General features: G+C 40.2%; 1 protein-coding gene and 1 long non-coding RNA gene across 3 annotated transcripts in view, besides 2 other annotated features; one reads left to right on the forward strand and one right to left on the reverse strand.

The window, feature by feature from the left end:
- Positions 1 to 1,471: 1,471 nt before the first annotated feature.
- On the reverse strand, positions 1,472 to 6,659 carry LOC101927723 (uncharacterized). Its single transcript, NR_187652.1, has 2 exons — positions 5,670 to 6,659; positions 1,472 to 2,714 (listed from the first exon to the last, which is right to left on the reverse strand). It is a non-coding gene; the product is annotated as an uncharacterized LOC101927723 (long non-coding RNA).
- Positions 2,496 to 2,565: an enhancer, noted in NCBI's record as "active region_15948". NCBI's record gives its function as "activates an Ori minimal core promoter by ATAC-STARR-seq in GM12878 lymphoblastoid cells {active_cell/tissue: GM12878}" and the evidence as "EXISTENCE:reporter gene assay evidence [ECO:0000049][PMID:35858748]".
- Positions 5,497 to 5,576: an enhancer, noted in NCBI's record as "active region_15949". NCBI's record gives its function as "activates an Ori minimal core promoter by ATAC-STARR-seq in GM12878 lymphoblastoid cells {active_cell/tissue: GM12878}" and the evidence as "EXISTENCE:reporter gene assay evidence [ECO:0000049][PMID:35858748]".
- PLEK (pleckstrin) overlaps positions 5,537 to 23,507 on the forward strand; it is a 32,172-nt gene continuing 14,201 nt past the window's right edge. For both annotated transcript variants that reach the window (NM_002664.3, XM_047444772.1), the window contains exons 1-4: positions 5,537 to 5,648; positions 20,583 to 20,738; positions 20,978 to 21,159; positions 22,797 to 22,888. In NM_002664.3, the coding sequence (NP_002655.2) occupies positions 5,607 to 5,648; positions 20,583 to 20,738; positions 20,978 to 21,159; positions 22,797 to 22,888 (472 nt within the window). In that variant the 5' untranslated portion in view covers positions 5,537 to 5,606. The remainder of the gene's footprint in view (positions 5,649 to 20,582; positions 20,739 to 20,977; positions 21,160 to 22,796; positions 22,889 to 23,507) is intronic.

Consider the following 23,507-nt stretch of genomic DNA (forward strand, 5'->3'; position numbering starts at 1 on the left):
GACCATGATGTTAACCTTGATCACCTGGCTCTGGCTGAGGTTGCATTTATCATGTTTCTCCACCATAAAGTTACTCCTTTTTTCTCCTTTCTGTACCGTACTTTTTAAAAAGTCACTATACACAGCCTATAGTTAAGGAGTGAGGATTCATGCTCCACCTCTTTAAGGGTGGAGAGTCTAGATAACTTATTTGGAATTCTTGGAATCTTGGAATAGATCTGTGTATTCTCTCTTATTTATTTACTCAATCATTAATTTATTTATTTTTAGACTTTGGTTATAATCCAATACTATTTTCTTTATTTTCTTGCTCTAAATTTTCTAGCTTTGGCCACTAGGTGCTCAGTCAGTTGGCTCTTTGGTCCCTTTGATCACCATCATGGTTTTAGTTTTTTGTGTTTTTAGTTAAAATTTTTAGCACTTTCTTACTTTCTGGTACGCAGGATGCTTCAGGGTCATCTTTTGCATTTCCTGCTGAAATCTTAGAGCCATCTATTTCTCCAAGGACGTCTCATTCCTTTTATTGGAGAATCGTATTAGTAATCAAGATCTGGGAGCTAGATGTGCTTGACACTACCAGGGTGTTGTCGCTTCTAGGCCTTCTCCACTAACACAGCAAGGAAATATATGTGTGAAAGTGCTTTCTTTTGAGCAAGTGGGTATATGTTCACACTTTTATATATTCTTAAATCATTTCCATATGAATTTGTGTATCTGTTGAAAGGGGATTACTCAGTATGTGGGCTCAGTTCCCTCTTTTGAACTGAAGCCCATTGGGCACCAACTAGATATTCTCTAATAGGTTTAAGTGAATTAGACAACTTAATGCTTTCTTTTTGTTGGGAGAAAGTTCTCCATGGGTTTTTTGTGTATAGGTACAACTTGCAAGCAGAGGTACTCTATTTTATGGATGCTTGTACAGTGAACAACAGCTTTGAAGGTAGAGGTTGTCTCCTTCCAGAGCAAAGGGCAGATTCACTTACTGTCCAGTAAAATAAAAATAAGGTCTGCCTCTGAGACAAAGTTTGGGCTGGTTTGCTTGCAGCCCATTACAAAAGATTCATGTTCCCTAAGCTCTGGGTCCTCAATTGTGATGCGAACCCTCAGTATGTGCAGCATCCATCTAGGCCGCTCCACTTTGTCCTTGGTAGACTTAGGGCCAAAAAGCATCAAGACCAATATGGAGCTAATTCTGTTTACTGTGCTGTGAGTAGCAAAGTCCTTTGTCTCACTCAAAACTCCAGAAGTCTTGAGTCTTCTGTGAGCATCCCTGAAACAGGCAGGCTGACCTGTTAACTTACAAGTAGGGTAACATCTCAGACTCTTCTCACAGGTTTTGACACCTTTTACTTAATTTATATTTAGCACTAGAGGTAGTCTGATATTTCTCAGCTAAATTTAATGTCTCTTTTGAATTACCAATGCTAAAGAATAACTTTGAAAAAGATAAAACGATGACTCTTACATATAATAGAATGAAAACATGTCAAAATTTTATTTAACTCATGAATTAAAGGGGAAACTAGCCAGAGGTCACCACCAGTTCAAAGGCAAGGTCAAAGACCAATTTATATAGAGTAAAGCAACGTTGAAATTCATTTACCAATGGACACAAAATTGACTTTTTCCATGGGAGGCGGGGTGGAGTGCGGGTGTGGGGTAAGGTGGAGTCTACTGAACTTCCATCAGGCAGAATTTATTTGCATGTTTATAGACAAGAATTATTTGTATTTATCCACAATCTACCGAGCTCTAGAATAACTCCAAGACAAGAAAAAAACACAGATTCCATAGAAACAAATAACTTAGAAAAGTGTGCTGTAAAGAATGCATAGTTTTCCATTGGAGATGCTCAGTAATCATTTTTGCTTATTCAGAAGTCTTAACTTGCCCTTACAGCAATAAAATGTGCTACAAGAATAATGTTTCCAAGGTTATTGATCAAATGTGTACAGAAAGAGATGTTAAAAAGTCATTCTAGGCTGGGTGCGGTGGCTTACACCTGTAATCCCAGAACTTTGGGAGGCCAAGGCAGGCAGATCACCGGAGGTCAGGAGTTCAAGACCAGCCTGGCCAGCATGGTGAAACCTTGTCTCTACTAAAAATACAAAAATAGCCGGGCGTGGTGGCGTGTCCCTGTAATCCCAGCTACTTGGGAGGCTGAGGTGGGAGGATCACTTGAACCTGGGAGGTGGAGGTTGCAGTGAGCCAAGATCAGGCCATTGCACTCCAGCCTGGGCGACAGAGCAAGACTCTGTCTCAAAAAAAAGTCATTCTAGACACATATACATAAGATACTGGAGGAGGTTCTAATGATCTGATCTGGGAGAGGGATCTGACACAGCAGAAGAAAACTTGGTCAAACTCTGTTGAGAGAAGTCCTGAAAGGCGTCATTGATTCAGATAGTTCTCTTTACTGACCACTAGGTGTCGCTAAGTAGGCGCGATGACACGTGGCAGGAGGGGGAGGGGCAAAGGCGGCAGCATCCAGTCCATCAATGGCGATGTTCAGCAGATTCACAAATGCCGGAGGTTCCTTGGTGTCAAGACATTTTTACCCCTGCACCTATTCAGGCGCCTGGTACATACTAAACACTTAATACCATGTTTCTTGAAATGAATTATTCGGAACGCAGGGGGTGCTTTTACACCGGAGGCATCCAAAAATAATATGAGGTTTCTGAGTGAGGGTTCTTTAAAGCCTTCTGATCATGCTAGGACAAACAGTGAAGACATTCCAAATTAGAAGTCACTTGGTCAGTTAAACAAAAGGAGATATATTTAACTATGAAATCAGACTTGGTAAATCTAAGAGTGGTTTCCATTGACTATACAGACATAGCAAAATACTTGTTTGAGTGCAGATACAGAAAATTACCCTTTTATTTGTTCCTGTTTTGCTCAGGTGACATCAAACGTTGATCCCTCTACTCTCAGCCCCCAACACTTTATAACAATTTCTAATTAATTTTGGTGCAATGAGAAACTGAAAAGAAACCATCAACGATTTTAAGTAATGGATATTAGCATAAAATGAAAAGTGAGAAATACAGGGGCAGTGACTGTTAGCTAGAAACACAGCTGGAGGGAAGAGGAGAGGGAATCAGGAAGCTCTCAGAAAACCCCAAGAACAGAACTTCTTCTTTCCCCTAACTTTCCTGGCTCCTCAGATGCCCTCGTGGACGTCTGTCAGTTTTGCCTTTCTCGGAGCCATCGCTCATCTATTGTTAATAGCATCTTGATTTTACTTTAGGGGACACCTCCCTTCTCCCATTGAGCATGGTCCTGCTGGGGCTGTCGGTTCACATGTTCCCCCTTCAGATACCGGAGAGAGAAGCACTAGGCCAAGTTAGGCCAATCAGAGGCCTGATCCCTGGAGACTACTGCAGAGTCTGAAAACCACTGGCATTCTTTCATCTTGGTGTCTTGCTTCCTGGAACCCCACAACTGCCCTGATTCCTGTCCTTTCAAAGACCCCAGTCTTCATTTTTCCTGCAGTCTGTGGGCCACTCCATTCTCTTCCAGTAAATTCCTATTTGCCTCTATTAGCCAGAGTTGTTATCTGTTGATTGCAGTGAAAGAACACTGACGGGTGTAATGAGGAAAATCTAGTCCTACGATTGCTTTCATCATCTCTGTTGAACTTATCATTGAAAAGGATCAGCTCTAGGATAACGGAGATTTGCCTTGAAGATGAAGAACAACTAATATTTATGGATACTAGTTATGTTTCAGACACTCTTCTAAATACTTCCATGTCTATCTCATTTAATCTTCAGAATGACCTCATTGGATAGGTGTTATTATCCCCGTATTACAGATGAGAAAACTGAGGCACAAAGTAATAACAAACTTGCTCATTTTCACATGGTCAGATTAACGGGTCTCTAAGTTTATTCTATGGAATATTCGTTTTTCAGGATTATATTGGTTTCCTGGGGCTGCCATAACAAAGTACCACAAACTGGTGGCTTAAAACAATGGAAATTTATTGTCTTACAGTTCTGGAGGCCGTAAGTCTGAAATCAAGGTGTCGTCAGCACCATGTTCTCTATAGCAACTCTAGGAGAGAATTGTTGCGTGCCTCTTCCAGCTTCTGGGGGTTGCTGGCCATCCTTGGCGTTCCTTGGCTTGTAAATGCATCACTCTGTTGTCACATGGCTGTTTTCTGTGTGCCCTTTTCTTATAAGGACACCAGTCACATTGGATTAAGGGCCCACTTGTTTCAGTATGACCTCATCTTAACTAATTATATCTACAATGACCCTATTTCCAAATAAGGATGCATTCTGAAGTGCTAAGGGTTAGGACTTCTTTTTTGGGAGATCTAATTCAATTTATGACAAAAAAAGTTAACATAAATTGTTCAAAAAAGAATGCTATGGCGAAGTAAGTTTGGAAAACACCATTATAGGATTCTTTACTGTAGTACTTTGGCGGGGCGAAGGTCTTTAATTTGTTCATCATTTAGAGGAGTTGCCAACCTGGGATTATTTTGTAAAGTTTCTCAAAAACCTGTTTGATGATGGACTTCTTTTTACAGGCTGACTGTGAGATCAGCACTCAACGTGGAACACCTGTTCTCATGCCTGATGTGAGGCAGTGGCACCCTAGCACATCCCTCCCTGGTTCTTCTGCTTTCCCCTGTGACCTGCAGCGTCAACTTGAGACAACTTTTCTTCTCTGAGCCTGAGTTTCCTTACTCTAAGATAAGGAAAATAATATACTTTCCCTATGGGTTTGATGTGTGGACTCATTTTTGTTGTTGTTTGTTTTGAGATGAAGTCTTTCTCTGTCGCCCAGGCTGGAGTGCAGTGGACCAATCTCGGCTCACTGCAACCTCCGCCTCCCAGGTTCAAGTGATTCTGCTGCCTCAGCCTCCCGAGTAGCTGGGACTACAGGCACACGCCACCATGCCCGGCTAATTTTTGTATTTTTAGTAGAGACAAGGTTTCACCATGTTGGCCAGGCTGGTCTTGAACTCCTGACCCCAGGTGATCCATCTGCCTTGGCCTCCCAAAGTGCTGGGAGTACAGGCGTGAGCTACCATGCCTGGCCGATGTGCAGACTAATTTAGTTTAAAATAAGTAGGCTGAGAAACACTTGATACAGGGCTTGGCATAGAGAGAAGTAGGCATTCATTTAGTAGTTAACTTTGTTATGCTAACCAGATGGTTCTGAATTTCTTGGCATTTTTATTGGGCATTTCCAGGATCTCAAGAATAATCCTTACTCAGGACAATTTTCACCAACAAGTTTTTCTTGTTCATCTTCCTCTTCCTTTCATCACTTCTTTTTCTCTTTAAAAGAGGGATTTTCTGTATGGTAGTAAGAATTTCCCTTAGGTAAATATTCAACCCAACTGTGGTTTTAATAAGTCTCCAGCATTAGCAAGGAATGGGTGGTTTACTCTGCAGTTCCTTATTCTGATCTTCCAACCCAGTGAGGGGAAGAGGATGTGATCATGCGACCGCCAGCAGAAGGGAAATTGTGAAAGCGACCTGCTGTAGAAAAGGCGGCCCACAGCCACCTCAGCATGCAGAGGAGGCCCAGCTGCTGAGAGGAGTTGCCTGAGAGTGACCTTTGCATCTGCCTGTCCAGCCAGCATGGAACCAAAGCGGATCAGAGAGGGCTACCTTGTGAAGAAGGTGAGCGAAGGTGCCACTTACCAGGGTGTCAGTGGACATGGGCTGGGGAGACTTGGGTTCAGCTCCACCGGCTACCTGCTCATCTTAGGAATGTTTCCTGTTCAACCAGTTGGGTTGAAATAGGGGAGCGTGGTAGCACATAGAATGTTGGAGTGGGGTTAGGGGAGTGGGGATACTCATCCAGCCCCGGCTTCCTTACAGTTTGATATTACGGGTCTGAGAATTCCAGATGGCAGGGCCTGGAAGGTGGGGATCTAAGCTAACTCCCTCCAGATTTAGAATATCCTTTTTAAGAGGCACACAGATGTGTTCTGTCAGAAGATATACTCCTCTTCTATGGAGGTTTCTTGGAGGGACTATTCATTTTTTATTTAAATTCCACTTCCCCTCAGTTCTTTTTTTGGGAGGCAAGGGGAAAAAAGTGATTAAAGAGTTGATATAATGATAGAGTAATTACGGCTTATTTCTTGGGCCATCTTCTTGGAATTGACACGTTTAAAAAAAACCTTATCTTTTTTTAATTGGGCTGAAATCTCTTCACTCACAATTCTTAGTAAATTTGCATAATGTGGCATCGAGGTGGTAGATGCACCATTTTAAAGATTAGGGTACTGAAAAAGGCTTAGCCTCCCTGGTGTGCATCATGAAAATTGAATTTTCTTAGTGCTGTTTGTCTTTCTTCGGATGCTGAGTGTGTGCTGTGTGGTTGTGAAAGCTCCCCGGGATGTGAATTCACACATAGGACTTGGTGTCCTGTGGGCAACACCTATATACACAGATATGCTCACACTAACCTTAGTGAGTGGATTGTTTCAGAAATGAGCTGAACGTAGTGCCTTCCTTCAGGTGCTTAGCTTTTTAGTTGAATGAACAGTGAATGTGAGTCTGTTTTAGGCTACTCATTTGTTTCACGTTTTAACCTACAATGTTCTACCTGTAAGGGGGGTTAAATAGCACACATTGCTGCCTGCTTCCATTTTGACTTCAGGCTGGAGGGACCCTAGGTCATCTGGCCTAATTCCTTCATTTGCAGAAGAGGAGACAGACCCAGAAGGCTCGGTGATTGCCCCAAGTCACATGGCTATGACAGTTGTGACCAGCCACTCCTTCTCTGATGCTTAGGTTTCTGATTCATGGCACTGAACTTTGTTCATTACTCCAGCATTTTCTTAAAGCAGATTTATTCCAAGTTAGGATTTGTAGTGTATTTGTGATGGTGAGAGCTATGAGTTGGTACTGGAGAATAAGTGGGCCCTCAGCTGCTAATCTCTGTAGCCAGCTGTGCTTCGAAACATCCTTTGGAAAAGACACACTTATACATAGAAGTGTAAAAGATTACTTGCAATAGGCACCAATAATAATTGGCGAGACCTGGTAATAATTAATATTGACTTATTCCTTTCCTGATCACTTGTGCTAGTATCCTGAGAAGAGCAAGTGAATAGGAACATTTCTGCAAGTTTTTGTTTGTTTTTTTAAACAATTAAAAACATCTTGCAATGAAAATTGCTGTTATAAAGTTTGTATGCTCATATTTTAATCTCCCTAAATTACAAAAATATGAAGACTAAATTTCTAATAAGTGAAGCTGTCTCACTAAAAATTGGGGATGATAGAGTCAGGGTTGTCAAGCATGTGGATTTAAATTAATAAATAGTTTTTAATTAGTGAGAGTAGTTCTCTCAGATTGTAAAAGCCAATCTAGAAAATGTGCCTGGAATTAAATAGTGAAATTTTGTATTGATAGTTTTACAATTTATATCTTCCATAATTTTCATGTTTACAAGTTACATCTTCCATAATTACTGCATTTTTCTCTGGGACCTTTTGAACACTCTGATATAATGCATTAAGATTCTCTTTTTTTTTTTTATTCTTCTAAAACTTTAATTTTAGGTTCAGGAGTATAGGTACAGGCTTGTTATATAGGTAAACTCCTGTGACAGGCGTTTGTTGTACAGATCATTTTGTTACCTAAGTACTATGCCTAGTATCCAATAGTTATTTTTTCTGATCCTCTCCCTTCTCCAACCCTCCACTCTCACATAGCTTCCAGCGTCTCATTTGATATTTTAAAGAAATGTTTGGTCCAGAAATATTCCCTTTTTCAGCTGCAGAACTAAACCTAAAGACAGAGTTTCCTGAGAAGGTATTAAAGTTCTTAACTACTTTAGACATTAAGTTTCCTTCAGTTACCTCACGTGTGGGTTAAAAACTGTATATGTCAAGAATCTGACATATAATTGGTGTACATAAGCTGCATAAGACACTGATTATTTGTATCAGCATCAATATATGCTTCAGTAGATAGTGGGGCCTCCCCTAGATGTTAATGGGGCTATGTACTGGTTCCTGGGTTGGTTGCCAAATTAATTATGAAGGAAGGGCCATAAAAATCTTTGAAAAGGCTCTTAGAAGCCTTGGCTATGGTTTTTGATATTAAAGCATGAAAAATAATATAGTGAATCTTCCTCCATTCACCTTTTTCTCTTATGCAGTTCAAGATACCTGGGTAGTAACAGAGAACATCTTTGTCCTGTGTCTTGTTTTATGAAATAATTTTATTGCAGATAAGTTGTTTTGGGTGGAAAAAATATAGCATTAGAAAATGCTGGTGCAGGAATTTTGTCAGGTCAGAAATCTTGGGGTCAATAGTGTTAACTGTAAAACGTTTCTGCTTTTCTTCTGTGCAAGATGACTGTTGACATTTCACAATCCAGGTTTCCTCTTTTGCCTCCTGAATAAGATCTCCAAATGAAGACAGTGGTTAAGAGGGGGAGGGAAAATACAAGATTCTGTCATTTTCCAGCTTTTTCATTCCAAGTAACACCCATGTCTCTTTGCCTCAGAGTCTTTCACCTTACTTTTTTGTTTTAAAAAAGAGCACTTCTAGCCAACCATGGAGCAGCAAGCTGCTATACGAACATGACTTCATTTAATCCTAACCACCCTATGTGATCCTCATCTTACAGATAAGAAAACTGAGGTTCACAGAGAATAAGTGATTCGTCCACAGTGAAACATGTGGCAAGAGGATGACCTGGGATTCAAATCCCGGCCTGCCTAACAGCAAAGCCTACCATCTCATTGATCCCAGGCAGCATTCTGAAAGGCAGGCTTGCCCTGGCCTGCAAAAGAACTCACTAGAGCCAGAGCAAGGCACGAACAAATTGTTTTGTGGGCAAGATTAAGTTTAAAAACCTCAGCCTCCTTTCCTCTCTGTTTAGGGGGTTTCTTTCTGGCCAATAAACATGTTTGGAAGGTACTCGAATACCTACTACTGAATTAGATATGTTCATCATCATAACTGGAAAAAATGAGAGAAGAGCAAATTATATGCTCTGCATAACCTAGACTCCTCCAAGTCATGTCTCAAACCAGCCTAATTCCTAGAGGTTTATGGAGCAAGCTGTTGTTTCCAGGACAACCAACCTCACAAGCACTTGGCGCAGCAGCGCTGACTCAGAAAGTGGCTGAGGGATTTGGATGTCCTTTGAGGCTGGGAGAAAGCATAGGAATCAGGGTGATGGGAAAGGGAAGGGCAAGCAGCAGGGACAGGAAAGGAAAGGGCTGCAGAAAGCTGTGGTAGAAGTGGAAGAGAGCCCGAGAGTCAGGGTCCTGGCCCAGGAGTTCTTTCCTGGATCTACCTTGTCTTCTAGGCAGCATGAAATAATCTGAAGCGATTTGTGCCTACTGATTCATCATCACTGTAACAGCTAACGCATGTGGTGTTTACCCTGAAGCAGGAACAGTTCCAAGCATTTCATGCCTTAATGCATTTATACAGCATACTTAAGACAACTCAACAAAATGGGGACAATTATTATCCTTACTTAACAGATAAGGAGATTGAAGTACAGAGAGGCAAATGGCCTTGTCCAAAGTCACACAGTTAATAAGTGGCAGAGCTGGTTTGCAACCCAGCAGTGTGGCCCCAGTATCACGCAGAGCCTAACCACTTTCTATGTGGCCCTCGTGGGCTCGTACTGCAGTGACATTCTTTTCCAAAGCACTGTCACCATGATGAGGGGTACCCAGGGGAACATTATGCCAGAGCGACTCCACAGTGTTGCCTACAAAACCGTACTCTTTTTTTTTTTTTTTTTTGAGATGGAGTTTTGCTCTTGTTGCCCAGGCTGGAGTGCAATGGTACGATCTCGGCTCACTGCAACCTCCGCCCCCAAAACCGTACTTTTACCTGTTTCTATGGTCGCCATTTTTCAAATGTATACTACATGCTGGCCACTGTGGTGAATGCTTTATGTATATTATCTCATTTAATCTTCACCACAATGTGAAACAGGTGCTTTGTTACCTTCATTTTACAGGTGAGGAGACTCATGCTTGGAAAAATTAAATAAGTTACCTAAGGTTACAGAGCCTGGAAGAGGCAAAATTGAGATCTGAATTTAAATCTAAGGCTCCAGAAGTCATGCTGTTAAGCACTCTCTGTGCCATTTCTGTATTACTTATTTAATATGTTTTCACTGATAAATTTTCCAACCTGGAAGAGTTCACTTATGTAAAAAATATGCTACTGAATAGACTAGTTCCTTTGCCTTCAGTGAGTTTGTATAGGCACAACACAACCATTTGTTTGGGATGTTATGTCAGTGATTTGATGGATCAGATTGGAAAACTAGATGATGTGATTTATGTTGTAGCCAACATAAGGGCTTAATTGAATGCAGCATCAACTTAAAATAACATGTCCCATGGGTGTGCAAGAATAGATAATAGTAACTGACAGTTCTGCTTTAGATATGCAGTTTTGATCACAGTGTAATTTTCCTTTGAATTCCAGCCATACATTGTATGTGAAAAGAGAAATTTGAGGGAAAGGGGAAGTTAAAAGAGATGCCTTCACTTTGTAGGGAGTGTCTGAGAGGGGTTCTAAACACAAATATCCGATTGCCCCAACCCTCAGCCATTGGTTGTAGCTTCTTTCTGTGATGCTGGGTGTACACAAGAAGGCACACCTCAATTTGTGCATTCATCACACTGACCTGGAGGTCACTCTCTCCCATGTGAGATTGTGAACTATTCGAGAGCAGAGATAGGGTCTTGTTTATTTTTGTTTTTATTTTTATTTTATTTATTTATGTATTTTGAGACAGAGTATTGCTCTGTAGTCTTGGCTGGAGTGGAATGGTACAATCTTGGCTCACTGTAACCTCCACCTCCAGGGTTCAAGTGATTCTCTTACATCAGCCTCCCAAGTAACTGGGACTACAGGCATGTGCCACCAAGCCCAGCTAATTTTTATATTTTTAGAAGAGATGGGGTTTCACCATGTTGGCCAGGCTTGTCTTGAACTCTTAACCTCAAGTGATCCACCCGCCTTGGCCTCCCAAAGTGCTAGGATTACAGGTGTGAGTACTGCGCTCAGAGTTGCTTAATTTTACATCCCAACAACCAGGCCAGTGTTGAAAGCATAGGAGCCATTCTATCATTATTTGTTGAATGAACGTGTCCCAAATAAAGAAACTTGCCTAAAATAGACTTCATAGAGACCAAAGTAACTTCTTAAGTCTTAAGAAAAAGTAATTTCAACGGGGGTAGTCATTTTTAGATGATCATGTAGAATATATTTCAAAGATTTATTATTATTTTTTGGCTTTCAAGCAAGCCCAAGGGTTAGCAGGGACACCTGGAAATAGAAGACTAAAGGGGGAAAAGAGGGACAGCAGGCACCTTGGAATAGATGTGTAGGATCTCAGGGTAGAAAGAGATGTTACAGATTTAATACAGCTTCTCATCTGCAGCTTGCATTTCTTTTATTCATCTGTTAACAAGCATGCTTGAATACTTCTCTTGTTAGGGAACTCACTAATTACATTTTCTCCCTTAAGTTATGCAGAAAACTGTTTTCCTGAAACCTCCACCGGCTGGGACCTCAAAACAATCCAGGCATTCACACCTGCTCTACCTGTTCCTTTATGGGCTAAAACCTAGTTAGTTCCTCCAACAGTTAGAGAGATGATACCATCTTGGTGTTCTGCTTTGAACAGGCTCTGGTTTACCTGCAGCTTTGAGGTCACTTGAACTTAGTATAGTTCTCCAGGAGCACCTGATAAGCATAGAACTGTAAGGAATAGGTACTATTTAATGAGTGATTACTATATGCCAATTACTGATTTAAGCAATTTACATGGATTGTTTTCATCTCCCAACAAAGCTGAGAAGTAGATATCATCATATCTGCTTGCCAGAAGGAGAGAATGAAGTTTAAAAACTTTCTCAAGGCCACATTACTAGAAAGTGGCAGAGTTGGGATTTGAGCCTGAGCCATCCAGCTCCAGAGCCCATGGTCACCTGCAGGCTATGCTTCGTTTAAAGACAGAATTATCATTTTCCTTGCTTTCGATCTTACACTTCTCTGTATACAACCACAACGAGTTTAGTTTTTTTTTGACAGCCCACATCAAATTGCTGACTCATAGAGCTCCTTTTTTCCCACATGCTCATTTCCCACACCTTATAAGTCTTTACAAAATATTATTAAAGAGAAAGGCTGTATCTTATTTAATTTCAATTTGCATTTCTTTGATTGCAGTTGAAGCAATCAATTATGTTTTATTGGACCCAGCTTTTATTCGTTTGAGAATTGCTTATTTATATTATTTGCTCATTTAAAAAATTGGGAGTGTTGATATATTTCTTATTGGTTCTAAAGTGTTTAAAGAATTAAGGATATTAATTTTTAATCATATGATGATACAAATATCTATGCATTTTCATTTGCTTTTCAGTTGTTGCAGTTTTTTAAATATAGAGAAGTTCATTTTTTTTTTTCTTGAGATGAAGTCTTGCTCTGTTGCCCAGGCTGGAGTGCAGTGGTGTGATCTAGGCTCACTGCAATCTCCACCTCTTGGGTTCAAGTGATTCTCCTGCCTCAGCCTCCCAAGTAGCTGGGACCGTAGGTGTGCATCACCACACCCAGCTAATTTTTGTATATTTTTAGTAGAGACTGGCTTTCATCATGTTGGCCAGGCTGGTCTCAAACTCCTGGCCTCAAGTGATCCACCCACCTCAGCCTCTTAAAGTGCTGGGATTACAGGCATGAGCCACTGCGCCCAGCCGAGAAGTTTATTTTTAATATGGTCAAATCTGCCGTTCTTTATGATTTCTTCTTTTGATGTCATGCAATGTCAGACTCTTAGGTGCTAAATTATACCAGTCCCATGATGATGAACAGGTATTTACCAGAAAACTTCAAATCTGACTCAGCATCCCATTGTGGACATGTACAGGTTTTGGCATATAATGGGTGAAAACACATATATGCTACACACACACATGCACACACACACACAGACACACATACACACAGCATATGGATATATATGTGTGTGTGTGTATATATATCTCCATTGAAGTGAAATAGCTAGCTAAGTGGTCTAAAGAAATCGATACAGATTCCAGAATGACTCAGTGTTATACAAGAACCAAAATGAAAATGACATCTGAGGGGAAGGGAAAAAACATAAAATTGAGAATCAGGAGACATGGATTCTACATTAACTGGTCAGATGTACTAGGCCAATCACTTAACATTAATTGTTCAGATGTGGTAGGCCAATCACTTAACTGGGCCTCCACTTTTTTTTATCAATATGGTGACAGTGTTGGTAGATGATCCTAAATTTCTCTGTCATTTGGACATTCCATAATCACACTTCCAGGTTTGCTCTTGGGTGAGCATCAAGTGGGTTGGGGCCAGAAAAGGAAAAATTTAGGAATGGTCAAGGAGAGGTGCTGCCAGGTTACCCGAGTGAGAAACTGGTAGCTGCAGTAGTGGTGAAGAGGAGAGAAAAACCTCCTCAAATTCCATCATCCTGACCTAACTCAGCACTATCAGGCCTGGAAGGATGTTTAAGCTTTGTAAGTGGTCAGATTTCTCTTGTTTCATAAAGTATCAGCCTCTTCATTGTGCATAATGACCCTGAATCCCAAATGACACATCCTCCTCAGAGTCAGACCCCGGAGGCTGCACTTGATTTAGAAAAGCACAACGTGAAGGTTAGTTACATATGTATACATGTGCCATGTTGTTGTGCTGCACCCATTAACTCGTCATTTAACATTAGGTATATCTCCTAATGCTATCCCAACATGGCACGTGTATACATAGGTAACTAACCTTCACGTTGTGCACATGTACCCTAAAACTTAAAGTATAATAAAGAAAATAAAAAAAAAAAAAGAAAAGCACAAACTCATATTGGACAGTTGGCTCCAGAGGCTTTGTCTACTGAAGGCATGCAATGCCAGCTTATCGCTACTGATGCATCCCAATTTCAAAGTCAAAAGCCCTGAGTGATGATGGCAGTTAATAATCTCAGCTATTCCTGAGGTTGAATATTAAATGTTAGGTTTAAAAGGGATTCTGGCAATCATCTAGTGCAACTTTTCATTTCTAGCTCTGAGAACATGTCTTTCTTTTCTTATTTCCAGGTATTTTTAAAATTTTTTATTAAATAGATTTGTCTATGTATTTCACTAAAAGTATATTCTAAATTTTAATACATAGCAGAGTCATATGTTACTCATTCATTTAATAATTTTCCCAAGTTATTTTAAAAGTTAAGCCCACAGAAAAATGAGGAAACTAGTACCATTATTCATATAGCCTTTACCTAGATTAATCAATTGATAATGGATGGGCACATTTGCTTTGTCTCTCCCTATCTCTGAATTTCTGTATAAATAAACACACATATCATATTAGGTTGAGATAGTTGAGAGTAATTTGCAGACATCACGCTACCTCACTCCAAAATACTTCAACATACATCTTCCAAGAAAAAGGACATTTTCCTATATAATCACAATGCCATTATCACATCTAAGAAATTTATTACTAATAAAATGACCTTATCTAATACACCTTTTACATTCAAATGATGCCAGATCACTCAATAATATTCTGCATAGCGGCTTTGAAAAGAATCCATGATTCAATCGAGGACAATTCATTGCATGAATATGCTGTTTTTCCAGTGATTAAGTGAGAGAAGTAACTAATGTGGAATAGTTTCCTTCTATAGAAGCAACTTGAAGGGTGGTGTTACTATAATCACTGTATACCCCTCCATGGAGTTAACTAACAGGACCTGGAGTTAACAACTTTGTTTTTTAATTGAAGGATAACTTACAATAAGGTACATGAAGGGTGTCATAATTTTTTACATACCTATACCTCATGTAATCAACACACAGATAAAGACAGAGACATTTCTAGTATGCTATAAAGTTCCATTGTTCCCTTCCTAGTCTATACTCCCATCGTCGGTAACCATTATTGTAATATTTTCTCATAAGCTATGCCTGTTGTTGAACGTCATATGAATGTAATCATACTCTAAGCACATGTTTTGCCTGTTTGCTTTTCACTCAACATCTATGAGATTTATTTATAATGTTCCAGGTACTAGCGGTTCATTTTTTAAAAATTGCTAGGTTGTTTTCCATAGTATACATTTACTGTGTTAATAATGGATTTATATATTATATTATACAGTTTACTTATTCCTTCTCCTGTTGATGGGCATTTGGGTTAGTCTTTGTTTCTGGCTATGATGAATAAAGGTGTCATGAACATTCTTGATGAAACCTTTATGACAATATGCATTCATTTCTCTCAGATCTTTGCCCAGGAGTGAAATTGCTGGTGCAAAGGACATATATGTGTTTAGCTTTAGCATAAAACCACCAGATATTTTTTCTGCACTGGATGTGATATTCTGCACTCCTGCCAGCTATGTTTGGTACTTCCAGTTATTCTACCTCCTTGTCAAGTCTTATTCTTCTCTGACTTTGAAAATGCTAGGTACTCTAGCAGGTGTGTAGAGGTATCTCATTGTGATTTGAATCTGCATTTTCCTGATAAATAATGATGTTGAACACTTTTTCATAAGCATTTGGATGTTTTCTTTACTAAAGTGCCTGCTCGATACTTTTTGCTCATTTAAAAATAGGATTATTTGTACTTTTCTTATTGATTTGCAGGAGTTCTTTGTATTCTAGATATGTTTCAGTTGTAAAACAGAAAGGCATTTTACTGGAATTATTTCATGTGTTGGCACAGTGTCTGATCTTGCTCATTTTTAAAAGGGGAAATAATCCAGTGTTCGTCTGGAATAGTTATTCTGCCCATGCAGAAAAGAGATAGGGTATTTTAATTTAGAAAATTATTTTAGTAACTAGAACAAAGGAAATGTTTGGACAAGCAAAGTGATAGTCCCACAAGTATTTATCTTTGCATAAATAGTCTTCCTTTTGGTCAACTGGACCTTTATATAGAGGCCCTTTGTATTTTGAGATAAGCAGCAGGGTCTCTTGGGAACTGGATGATAATTCTATTTTGTGGTAGTCATGACAGGGTGATATCATGGGTTAAAGAATAGACCTTTGCCAAATTCTTCCAAAATATAGACCAGAAATAGAGACTTCCCTGTTTTAATCAGAATGGTCAACTTATTGCTAAAGGGGCAGCTGGCATGAACCCAAACTGAAAACATTTTAAGTAAGGATTTTTTTAAGGGCTACATTAATGTGGATAGCCTCATTCTGGCATTATAGACCTTTTGCAAGTGATTTTCATACAACTTAGCCATGCCTGCACACAAGGCTGCTGTCTGAGTTTCTTTTTGACATTCATATTCAGATAAAATCTGATTAGCCCAAGAGATGGAAGCAACTGCAGGGTGCATGCCACCACTTATGACTGCTTTGTCTATGGGAGACACGGCTGTTGGATCACAACACTTTTCCACTGAGTCCAGCCTCAAGCATCCACTACTACTCAGTCTGAATTGACACTTGAGATAGATTCTACTTGCCATTCTTGAGTTGAACTGAACTCAATGGGCAGGTTTGGGAGCAGAAAACAAACCACATAAAGTCAGCCTGAAATGTACCAGGGGAGCTTATGGGTTGACTGTCACTGTATATACATTTTATCTTAATTAAAAAAAATTCCAGTAGAATGACAGTCCTCCTTTCCCCTGAAGGCATCCTTCCTGCGCAGCCTTGTGCAAATGTGGACCACCTGCCTCCACACTGGCCAAAGCTGAGTTACATATTGTCCTGCAGAGGTCTATAGGATCATTTTAGGAAATATTGTCACACTTATTGTGTCTATTCTTATGTTAATCATTTCATTATGTCTTATTTATTCAGTCTTATCTATTAATAATGTGATCTTATTTTTAATTTTTAATTTTTAAAATTTAAATTTTTGTGGGTGCATAGTAGGTATATGTATTTATAGGGTACATGAGATGTTTTGATACAGGCATGCAATGAGTAATAATAACACCATGGAGAATGGGGTATCCATCCCCACTAAGCATTTATCCTTTGTGTTACAAACAATCCAATTACGCTCTTTTAGTTATTTTAAAATATACAATTAAGTTGGCAATAGTCACACTGTTGTGCTATGAAATCATAGGTCTCATTTATTCTTTCTGTTTTCTTGTTTTTGGTACCCATTAACCATCCCCACCTCCCTGCAGTCCCCCACTTCCCTTCCTGGCCTCTGGTAACCATCCTTCTACTCTCTGTGTCCATGAGTTCAGTTGTTTTGATTTTTAGATCTCACAGATATGTGAGAACATGTGATGTCTGTCTTTCTGTGCCTGGCTCATTTCACTCAACATAATGATCTTCGGGTCCATCCATGTTGTTGCAAATGACAGGACCTTCTTTTTTATGGCAAAGTAGCCCTCCATTGTGTATATGTACTACACTTTCTTTATCCACTCATCTGTTGAGGGACACTTAGGTTGCTTCCAAATCTTGTCTATTGTGAACAGTGCTGCAACCAACATGGGAGTGCAGATATCTCATCCATATACCGATTTCCTTTCTTTACAGTATATACCCCCCAGTGAGATTGCTGGGTCAAATCGTAGTTCTGTTTTTAGTTTTTTGAGGAACCTCCAAACTGTTCTTCATAGTGTTTGTACTAATTTACATTCCCACCAACAGTGTACAAGTATTGCCTTTTCTCCACATCCTCAAAAACATTTCTTATTGCCTGTTTTTTGGTTAAAAGCCATTTTGACTGAGATGAGCTGTTATCTCATTGTAGTTTTGATTTGCATTTCTCTGATGATCAGTGATGTTGAGCACCTTTTCATATGCACACTTGCCATTTGTATGTCTGCCTTTGAGACATGTCTATTCAAATATTTTGACCATTTTTTGAATGGTTTATTAGATTTTTTTCCTCTAGAGTTGTCTGAGCTCCTGATATATTCTGGCTATCAATCCTTTGTCAGATGGGTAGTTTGCAAATATTTTCTGTCATTCTGTGGGTTGTCTCTTCACTTCGTTGCCTGTTTCCTTTGCTGTGCAAAAGCTTTTTACCTTGATGTGATCACATTTGCTTATTTTTGCTTTGGTTGTCTGTGCTTATAGGGTATTGCTCAAGAAATTTTTGGCCAGACCAATGTCTTGTAGATTTTCCCCAATATTTTCTTACAGTCATAATGTGATTTTAATTACCACCGTTCATTCCACAAATTATTGATTGAACACCTGACAATATGATGGTGAAGTAAGTTCTTGCCCCCCTGGAACATATAGTTGGGTGGCAATAGTTGACAGAGTGATTTTACACACTTTATATATAAAACATGTGTATACATATGTATTTAAAGATATATACACTGTATAATGTATATGTACATTATTCACATATAAGCATATGGCATGCATTATACACTTATATATACATATTTTATACATGATCTAAATCTAAACTATGCTTTAAGATGGAATTATTATCTCTCTCTTAGCAAACAAAAAGCCATGGCTCAGAAATATTAAACATTTTACCCAAAGACATGTACAACTAATAAGTGGTTGACATGAGGCTCAAATGTAGGTTCGAGTTTTGACCCCAAATCATAGCATACACTGAAGTATCCTAAATACTTCAAGCATCATTGGATGACATGTCATACAATAATGGAGGAGGCCTGCAAGTCTGAGGCAGGCCGGATTCTTCACAATCCCAAACCTTATTCCACCAGAAGAGAAACCAAAGGGAAGTGTGTTTCCTCACAAATACATTCATGCAGATCCTCAGGGCCTTCAGCTTTCCCATTCATTACTCCACATGGCAACTGGCTAAATATTTTTGACTCTTCCTCATTGGGATGATACTGATACCAGTTCATTGTCATTTTTCCAAGAATAGAGAGGATGAAAACTCAAAGCATGGAAGACATTCATACATGGCCATCTGTCAAGATACTTAATAATACAACCTCTCATTTGTAGAGCACATTCGAACTTATAAAATCTTATCCAAATTATTTCATTTCATATGTTCTAGAAATCTCTGAGGTAGTCATTCTTATCATTTTAGTGCTGGGAACTGAGCCTTAGAGAGGGCAAGTGGCTTACACAAGTGTGGGCAGTAAGAAAGTCATAGAACCAGCTGGGCGCGATGGCTCACACCTGTAATCCCAGCACTCTGGGAGGCTGAGGCAGAAGGAACACGAGATCAGGAGTTCAAGACCAGCCTGGCCAACACGGTGAAACCCCGTCTTTACTGAAAAAAATAACATAAATATTAGCTGGGTGTGGTTGTGCACACCTGTAATCCCAGCTACCTGGGAGGCTGAGGTGGGAGAATTGCTTGAACCTGACAGGCGGAGCTTGCAGTGAGCTGAGATCATGCAATTGCACTCCAGCCTGGGTGACAGAGGGAGAACCTGTCTCAAAAAAATAAAAATAAAAATAAAATTTAAAAAAAGAGACAGAGAGAGAGTGCTTGAGCTAGATCATCTAAGATTCAGCCAACCATCTCAGCAGTGTTACCAGAGCTTGTAAGTGAAGGCAGATTTGGGGTAAAACCAGCTTTTATTTATATGTGTCTTCAGTGAGTCAGATTAGTTGGTTTGCAGGCCATATTTTGAAAACCACTAGGCTTTAGAATATTTAATTCTTTCTCCAATTCTGACTAACCCTCCCAAGAATTGAAATGTTCTAAAACCCTGAAAAATGAAAACCCTTCCAACCGAACACCAATAATTATCATTTTTGTATTTTTCTCCTCAAAATAGGCAATTAAACATGTAAAAATAAATAAAGACTTCAAAAAAAGAAAGAACTATACTCTAAGATCATGTGTCAGATGTAGTTTCAGAAGCAAGATCTGCCGGCAGTTCTTACACATAGCGGGGGTGAGAATGTTTCTGTGAGGTGGGTCCTTTGTGGTTCTTAATGGTGTGAACCCGACATGAAAAGGGAGGTGCAGGGGAAATCATAGCAGGAAAGGGTTTGGGTGGGGATGAAGTAGATAATAAGAAGGATTGGTTGCTCTTTTCAATGAAGTGTGATAGCTGCTAGCATTTGGCAGTTTGGGAAATGATCTTCTTTTGTATTATTTTAATGAACATCCCCTGTGTGCTCAGTATCATGAACCAAGGAAAGTACCTGATAATGTAATTGCCATGGAGAAGGAAAGATAACCATACTGAAGACAATTAAAGAACTACATGAGGAAATATATAACAAAGTTCCAGGTTGTATGGCACAATCAGTGAGAAAAGCAGGAGGCACCCCTGAGATCACGGTGGGTCTGTGCAGTTCGGGAAGCCTCATCAATGAGGTGGCTAAGCTGAGCCTTGAAGGATATGGAGAGGTTAGGCAAGGTGAGAAAGAGGAGAGGGCAGAGTTGGGGAGGAGTATTCCAGAGAATGGGGTTGGCTTGAGCAAAGAGCCGGGAGTAGAAATGAGAATGGCTCCCCAAGTAGCCACTGATTTGAGAGGATTTGTGTTGAAGGAACAGAGATGATGTCACCAAACATTTTAAAAACCAACTGTAAGTAAATATAGAATCTTTCCTGTTAGGAGGAAAATACAGTTTGCAAAGAGCCCTGTCCATCTCAGCTCTTTTGGTTGTCATTACAGGGGAGCGTGTTCAATACGTGGAAACCCATGTGGGTTGTATTGTTAGAAGATGGAATTGAATTCTATAAGAAGAAAAGTGACAACAGCCCCAAAGGAATGATCCCGCTGAAAGGGAGCACTCTGACTAGCCCTTGTCAAGACTTTGGCAAAAGGATGGTAAGTTGACATCATGAGCTGCCGTGAACCCCTGGTCAGGCACTCAACTTTTGGTGCAAGCATTGCCTACAATGTGGGTGGTGCTCCTTGGGCTGGTCCCTCTCACCACCACCCACACCCCACCCTGGCATTTGGGTTTCTCTTGGCTAGAAGAGGTTTAGGCCAATGGCCTCTGCTTCATGAGGGGCCCCAAGCCCTTGAAATAAGCCATTTCTAATGGGATGTGTTTTGATTTTCAGTTTGTGTTTAAGATCACTACGACCAAACAGCAGGACCACTTCTTCCAGGCAGCCTTCCTGGAGGAGAGAGATGCCTGGGTTCGGGATATCAAGAAGGCCATTAAATGCATTGAAGGAGGCCAGAAATTTGCCAGGAAATCTACCAGGAGGTCCATTCGACTGCCAGAAACCATTGACTTAGGGTGATTTTCTGTGTTTACTTCTCTTTACCCATTCCTTCTGAAAGACACAAACATAGCAGATCCTGCTCCAAGGCTTGCTTTGACCACCTCTGATGTTGTATCCACTCTGCCAGGTCAATACTGGCACTTGGTGTACTAAAATGTTTACCTGGGTCTGAAGGAGTGATCCAAGGCCTACTAGCTGAGGAGAGGAGGCGAATGGAGTACAAATTCCCTCATACTGGGTACCAGAGAGAGAGAGAGAGAGAGAGAGAAAGAAACATCATCATTGCATTTATAACATAGCCATAATAAGTCAGTCTTGAAATAAAGCTTTAGGATCTTTAGGTAGAAAGGAAAAAGCAGGGGCTATGCATCCAAGCAAGCAAGGTTTCAAGTTCAAGTTCATTCATTTACACACTCAGGAAGGGCCAGCCAGGGTAAACACCCATCCTGGTGGAAGCCATTTATGTCCTGACCCAGTTTAATGGCCGCTGATGTTGGTTGGCTTGGAATTGCAGGTGATAGTTGTAGACTAAAGGTGGTCAGAGGCCAACAGGAAGATCTAGCTCCTGACAGAGGTTGGGAATGGGATTTCTTCCTTCCTGAGTATCTCACATCTTTGGTCACATGAGCCCCTTTCTCTAGGAGTCACTTTCTTCTTGGTAGTTTTGCTTTTTTGTTGAGCATTCCCTGAAGCAGGAGCCCTGTTGAGAAGAATCCCATGCCAGCTGCTTAAAATGTCCAACAAGAATTTTGTTTTTATGGAGGGTGGGGTGGGGAGAAGCACTGAGAGGAGCCTAAAGACATCCCTTCTGCACTTCTGCATGACGACACAAGACTTGGCATGGCACAGGAGTTTGACAAAGTTTGTGAACTGAGCTGAGTGAGACTCAGCAGCCTCCTTCACCACAAAAGCTTTTTGGCAAAGAGCTCCAACGAGGCACCTAGTGCAGCTGCAGCTGCTGATGGGGGCCATCGAGTGACCACAGTCCTGGCCAGTGCTGTCAGAACTAAGTGGGAAAAATGCTCGGGCTATAGGGAGCCACAGGCTACATGGAAGGGGCCTTCTGTTTTGTTGCTTAGAGCTTCTCTCGTAAGGCTATCTTTGATGTATTACTTCAAGGACAAAAATGAGAACTTCTCACCATTTTGCCTTATATCTCATCATTTTAAAGATAAGACATATGCTTAGTGGAAGCATTCACTTTCTTAAAGGCCAATGTCTACCACAGATGGTCCCTTGAAGAGCATTAAAGAATTGGGATATGAGGATTGAGGGACATTAAAGATGTAGAATGTGTAGAAAATGGACCCTAGGAACCTTTCATCTTTGACCTCTAAATTGGGGCAAATTTCCATCCCAGGAACCAATAATTAAATCAACAAACAGCTGAATGAATTTAAGAGAATTTAGGAGACGTTAAGTACCTTCCAGCATTGCTAAACGCTGTGCAGGCTACAGAGTTATGCAGATATGAATGTTGCCCCTCCACTACTTATGATCTGATGGAGGGAGATTAAGCTCAGGGGATACCTGGGGTGGGGGAGCTTGTGCTCACCTCCCAGAGAGAACTTACCATTCTGAAATGTTCCCCACTCATCCAACTGGGTTTTTTTTTGTTTGTTTGTTTGTTTGCTTTTTTATCTCTGTGCAGTGCCTTATATTTGTCCATGAAAGACACTGAAAAAGGAATAAAAGAACTGAATCTAGAGAAGGACAAGAAGATTTTTAATCACTGCTTCACAGGTAAAAGCACTTGCAGGCCTGAAATAGGGCGACTGGGAAGGCGATATGGAGTCCTCCTTCGGCCTCGTCTGTGAGGTGGGGGTATGAAGTATGGGGGTTGGAAGGGGTCCCAGAATGCAGCCTGGTGAGCCTGAGGATGAAGCTCCTACAGAGTGAAAATAGAAAGAAGTTTGTTGTTCAAGCTAACGATTTTGTTCAAGCTTTATTTGTTCAAGTTAACATTTGTTCAAGCTAACGTTCCAATCAAAGGATTTTTTTTCTCAATAAATGGCATTATGTTGAGACTTGCTAGAAATAGACACAGAATTGGATAAGATGCAACCCTTACTACAATAAACAGGGATTAAGGCATACAATGTAAGTTTTAAATGACAATATTAGGGCTATCAGAGGCTGCACAGGGTCAGGTATTAAGTGTTATGAGTTTAGGTAGTATGGTGTAGTGGTTAAAAACATGTCCTTTAGAGCCAGACCACCTTGGTTCAAATTCTGGCTCTGCAACTTACTAGTTATAAAACCTTGGCTCAATAACTTAGCCTCTCTGTGCTTCACTTTCTCTGTCTATTTAGTGGGGATAATCACAGTGCACCTACCTCATAGGCTTGCCATTATGTGTGTA

Source organism: Homo sapiens, chromosome 2, assembly GCF_000001405.40.
Source record: "Homo sapiens chromosome 2, GRCh38.p14 Primary Assembly".
Lineage (NCBI taxonomy): Eukaryota > Metazoa > Chordata > Mammalia > Primates > Hominidae > Homo > Homo sapiens.